General features: G+C 42.6%; 1 annotated feature.

The window, feature by feature from the left end:
* Positions 4,160-5,359: an enhancer, noted in NCBI's record as "MED14-independent group 3 enhancer chr12:5497373-5498572 (GRCh37/hg19 assembly coordinates)". NCBI's record gives its function as "activates an origin of replication core promoter dependent on BRD2, BRD4, P300/CBP and CDK7 cofactors, and independent of MED14, by STARR-seq in HCT116 cells {active_cell/tissue: HCT116}" and the evidence as "EXISTENCE:reporter gene assay evidence [ECO:0000049][PMID:35650434]".

The following is a 6,201-nucleotide window of genomic DNA, read 5'->3' as shown; positions in this document are numbered from 1 at the left end:
TGTTGGGGAAGTGCAGATGAGGGAGGCTGGGATTTCCTTAACATCTGAAAGAGCTCCTGGTCCCAGACTATCTAGAAGAGTCATAGCAACGTTTCTTCTGACTGCCAAGACCAATTTCCTGTTACCCAAATTTTGACCCTGCACCCAGTGGTAAGAGACCTTTAACTTAAAAGACCTTTAGCAAATGTCTACAGTCACATGTCTGCAAGGGAAGAAGAATGTTTGAATAAACTTGGCCAATAAGAAAATTTTGGTCACCGGCCTTAAGAGAGTGAAGGGGGCAACTCTCCCGTATTCCAGGTGTCCCTGGCTGGCTGGTGCAACACTTGTGAATGCTGAGCTGCTGAGGCCTGAAGATTGGCCTTGCCAGCCACTTTCAGGGCTCACCAGTTCTCTTTCAGGGCAGCTGATGTCTTACATAAGTGAACCACCCACACAGGCCCTGAACCCGAGGTTCCAGTGCTGCCCTCCGTACAGCCACAGGGCAGGAGGCACCTCAAGACCCCTGGGAAGTAGTCACTGGGTGGGTCTGGGAGGTGGAGAAGGAGGCACGTGTTAGCATGAATGTGCTTTATGTGTCAGGAGAGGGATCTGGGAGTATTTCTGAGGCCCTGAAGGTTCCAAGTGAGATGTTGAATCAGCCCTACCTGTTATAACTTTGAGGAGCTGCTTTTCTGTGCTTGACTCAGATGTCTGACACCTGTTTGCTGGGAAGTGGGAGAAGAACAGGACAGAAATTGGAGCAGAGAAGGGGAATGGGGAGAAGAGGAGAGGAAGGAAGAAGAGGAGAAAGAGAGTGAAAGAAATTGATGAGGGAATAGGACTGGGGGAAAGGCAGAGAAAGACAAATAAAAGGAAGTGAAAGAAGAATGAATGGACAGGAAAAAAGTTATTGGTCCCTGTGTGATGGGAAGCTGGGGTGACTCTTGATTGATTTGTTCATAAGAACAGACTGCTTTGATCATTGCATCCCCCTGACTGGGAGAGGGCTCTTCGAAGCCTTAAGCAGTGAAAAGTGGTTGGTGAAAACGTGGAAAAATGCCTGCTGGAAAGTCTTCATTCCAATACTACTACTACTACTACTACTACTACTAATAATAATAATAATAGTTAAAAGTAAATTCACAAATTTGGATTTTTATGATGACTTTTTAAAAGTAGAAATTATTACTTAATAATATTTTTAAAATAGCAAATCTCATCTTCCAAAAAATGTATATTTTTAATGATCCTCCTTTGCAGATGCTCCAAGCCTGGGCTTAAAGAGAGGCTTCTCAGGTATTATACACCAAACAGATACACATCTGCCAAATGAAGATGTCATCATCAATGAGATTCCCTTTATTGGTTTTGCGGCCCAAAATTTACAAAGCTCTTTCACATGTACTATGTGACTTAATCCTGTGAGGAAAGATAAAGCAGGTTTTTACTTTTAGCTGGAAAAAAATGTATATCTAAATAAAAACAAGCTATTTCAATCTCTCTACCCAACCACTCCAATTACTGACATTTCTTCAGATGTGTAATAATTATGCATATGGAAGGATGTCTATGCAACGTGAAGAACATTCTGCTTCAAAGCTGCCCAAGAATAGAAGATGCAGCCTCAGGAATGAAGTTAATCATCAACAACAGCCTATGTTGTGGATTGAACTGAGACTCCCTTATCCAAAAGATATGTCCACATCCTAACTCCCCCGTAGCTGTGAATGTGACCTTATTTGGAAACAGGGTGTTTGCAGATGTGATTAAGTTCAAGATATGGAGATGACATAATCCTGGATTTAGGGAGGGCCCTAAATCCAATGACTGATGACTTTATAAGAATGAGGAGAGGAAGATTTGAGACACAGAAACAGAGAAGGAAGCCATGTGAAAACAGAGGAAGAGACTGGAGTGATGCTGCCATAAACCAAGGAATTCCAGGAGCTACTAGAAGGTGTAGGAGTCAAGGAAGAATTCTCCCTTAGAGCCTTCAGACGGAGCGTGGCTTCTGAAGACTTCTAGCTTCCAGAACTATGGGAAGAAAAACAATTCTGTTGTTTTAAACTGTGAAGTTGGTGGTGATTTCTTGTGGCAGCCACAGGCAATGAATATAGAGGGGTTTAGGCAGGAGATATATGCCCCCTTAGTGAAAACATCTCCTAAGGGACCTGGGGATCAGAAAATAGATTGTTTGGTAAGTTAACCTTTAAGGTTCTTTCCAATCCTCAGATTTTACAACCCAGAGTATTTTTACACAGCTGCACTGTTGTAATGTTCTGCTTATATATATAAGATAATTTAATATATGAATTTTGTTTATATGCAATTTCTTATTTTTATCTTTAATGACTATAGGATATGCCATCAAACGAAGGTATCATAATTCTATTAACTCTTTTCCTGCTATTAATGCAAATTGTTTTCATGCAATGCTGCCACAGACCTAATTGCAGATACAACCATCTTTCCTTTGATACCCTAGGACAATGGTTCTCCACTGTGGATGATGTAGTCCTGCAGGGGATATTTGGCAATGTCTGGGGACTTTGATTGTCTTAAGTTTGGAGGAGGTGTTGCTATTGGCATCTAATAGGTAGAGGCCAGAGATGTTTTTAAGCATTCTACAAGGCAGAAGACCTCTCCCGCAACAGAGAACTGTCCGATTCAAAATGTCAATAAGTAATGATGAGGCTGAGAAAAACATTCTGTAGAATAAAATCTTGGGAGTAGAATTCTGTGGTCCTTGGGTTTGGCTCTTGATATGTATTGAAGGAATGTAAGCACCTTGGTTACAACAGAGGTCCAGAAAGGTAAAGAGATGTGGCCTAAGAGTAACATGCTAGTGGCAGGGCCAGGGCCACAGCCTTGATCCAAACCTGCAATCCAGTGCTCTCATCATCCCAGCCTGGCTGCCTCTTCACAGTCTAAAGGCCAGAAAGCATTCAACAAGGTGTCTCAGGACAAAGAGCAAAGGAAAGATAAACATACCTGAACCGTCAGTGGTGAGGCTCTTGATAACATCGAGGAAATAAAGTTTGTTCCTACTTTGAACAGAACCCCATATCCCTCTGTGACAGGAAGACTTCCCAGTGCCTCTCCCTGTCTGCACTGCCCATGAAGGCACTTTAATATGTTCTGGCACATGGTGAGTCTTAACAGACTGTTAGACAATGACTGAGTGATGATCGGTTTAGTAGCTTTCCACAAGCTCTCTTGGGTGTACGATCATTGGCCTGAAATAGTGACAGTTGGAAAATACATTCTTCATGAAGTGTGTCATGGCAGCAAACCTCTGCACTCTCCTCCATCCCCTCTGAGACTCAGGGGTTGAGTCTCGACATGACTGGGGAAGCCCATCCCATCAGTACTCACAGCACAGTGCACGTGTGGGCAACCTGACCATCATCTGGGTGCTCGTTAACAATGCTGATGGATGCATTATAGGTTTAAAATCCATCACCTTCCTGGAGCTCAGAGCTGCGTTTTACATGTGAATAGTTGAGGGGATGCCCCCGCTTCCCTATCACAATTGGGGAAGGACCATGACGTGTTCAATAAAATTGATTTGGGCAAGGCACCATTGCCTGCCAGCAAATGTGATGAAACTGGAATAAAGCACAGGGTAGGGAAGGGGCAAATACTCCTTTAACATAATAACATGAGGATTATTATCTTGCAAGAATTGAAATTAAATAAAAGGAATACAAATTTCTCATGAAGACCAGACAGAGGTCTTCAGAATGATATTAATTCTCATGAAAGTATAATGTACTGGTTTCAGATTATTTCTGGAGAAAAATGGGCACAGTCCAGAGTAAAGCCTGCTTTGGCCCAATTTCTCTTCCTCTGACCCCCATACTCTGGACGGAGTCCAGAACTCCATCCCCACCTCACCCATCTCACCCTTTTGAGTTGGCCAGCACTGAGATTAGAACGTGTTCCTCCTTTTTACTGAAGCAACAGAAGTGGAGGAATTAGACAAAGTCATTGGGATTTTAAGTGGATGTTTCAGGCCTAAGAAGCCTGAAGGGATGGGGGTTCATCACTGGGAAGATGGCACATCCTAGGCAAGAAAAGGGAGGTGAGACACGAAAGGGAGGAGGCTTTAAAGGGAGAGAGCCACAGCAAGTTGGAGAGAAGAGAAAAGAGGAATTGTGCATGGGATGCCTCACTTCTTTGGGAGATACCTAGAGGAGAAGGTAGCAAGGCCAGGGGCTAATAGATGCTTAGAAAATAACTGAAAGATGATCAGTTTAATAGCTTTCTGCAAACTATCCTGGGTGTACAGTCATTGGTCCAGAAAGGTGAAGGTTGGAAAATGATTTCTGCTTCCCATCCCTTCTCCTAAAGCCAATGAGAGTGACCAGACCCTTCCGGTAGGGAGCTGCTTCATTGAGACCCACAGCACATTCAGTTGGAGGAAGGCAAGGGAATATTTACAGAAATAACAAAATAAAGGAATATCCCTGACATGACCCTCATCCCTAATGGGTCATCTAATAGGTATGAACCACACCCTCTTTGTGGCTTTTGAGGTGGCAGAAGTATCTCAGATGGTGACTCAACTGGAAAAAAAGTAAGTTAAATCCTCAGAATTTGTATCATACTCTACGGAATGGAAAACAAGGATTCTCCATGCAGGTTATATTCCAGATGAGAAAACTGAGATAAGAGAACTAGAGGAGTGTATTGACCACATCTTGGTGAAATAAATAGGATATTACAGGCTCAGTAAATGACCAAGAATCCTGTAACTGTGCTCTTCCCCCATATCTGACTGTCTGTGCTGCTAGGAGGAGGATTGGGACCTGCCTGTATGGTCTCTGGGGCTGGAGATTGTCAGGCAGGGGTGCAGCCCTCTGTCCACACAGCCAAGGGAAGTCCCTGAGTGGGATGTGAAGTCCCACTCAGTGCAGCACGTGATATTAATGACCCCAACGTGGAATTCACATCACTTACCTTTTCTCCTGCATGTTGGAATGAAACTGAAAGGGGTTTTGCTCTCAAAAAAAGCCTCAGGAGAGTCTTCAAAAGGCAGTGATAATATAATCAAGGCACATGGCTTCACTGAAAAACAGTTGGGTTGCAATAGAGCAAGTATGAAATGTGCTGTGAATAGAAAGCCCCTATTGTTGGACACTCAAACAAGGTACACTTGACCCCTTTCAATAAGATTCTTAATATTTTTAAAGGAGCAAAAATATCTTTCCTGCAGCAAAAAACGTTCACAATCCTTTTCTTACCCATCAAAGTTCCATTTAAACTTAACCTTTTCTTTTCTGTTTTACGTATTTTTCAAGAAAGGAATATATTGACATAAGCCTGAGTTTTCTTGCCTTCTTGTTTTCTTCACTTTTCATTGCCAATTCTGTCCAAAGTAATGGAGGCTGGAACGTGGATGTGGAGTGTGTAGCCGCCATGGTGGTGAGAGGATAGATTATATGGAACACTCAAACATCTAATACGTATGTATTTATTCATGCACTCAACAACTAAAAATAGTGTTTACTCACTTCAAATATGTTTACTGAGAACCTATCATCTGAAGGACCCGCAGGTGAACAAGACAGGTTTAATTCACAAGATAAATTATGTATCCTGATTACTACAATAGGAAGGAAAAAGTTAGTGCCTTAAGATATACATATACAATGACAGAGGATTTGAAAGCATGGAGAGAGAACTTTCAGCTCAAGAGCTCATGAAAGGCTTTGTAGAGTCTTGAGATGGCATTTTTTTGAGCCTAAAGAATAGGTAGGATTCAGGCACGAGGAAGTGGGAAGTAGTAGGGATTATTGGCAAATGAAACTGCATGAACGACTTAGCAAATGGGAATTATAGGTCAAATACTAAAAGAAGTAAATCACATATGTGCTAGTCTGTTCTTGCAGTGCTATAAAGAAATACCTGAATAAAGACAAGAGGTTTATTTGCTCATGGTTCTTCAGGCTGTACAGTAAGCATAGTGGCTTCTAGGGAGGCCTCAGGAAGCTTTCAATCATGGCGGAAGGTGAAGGGAAAGCAGGCAAGTCTTACATGGTCAAAGCAGACGTGGTGGCAGGTGCCACACACTTGCAAAAAACCAGATCTCATGAGAGCTCACTATCATGATGACAGCACCAAGAGGCATGGTGTTAAACCATTAGAGACCACCTCCATGATCCAATCATCTCCTACCAGACCTCACCTCCAAACACTGGGGATTACAACTGAACA

Source organism: Homo sapiens, chromosome 12, assembly GCF_000001405.40.
Source record: "Homo sapiens chromosome 12, GRCh38.p14 Primary Assembly".
Lineage (NCBI taxonomy): Eukaryota > Metazoa > Chordata > Mammalia > Primates > Hominidae > Homo > Homo sapiens.
Note: the sequence above shows the minus strand (reverse complement) of the source record. Positions and strands in the feature narration are given on the sequence as shown.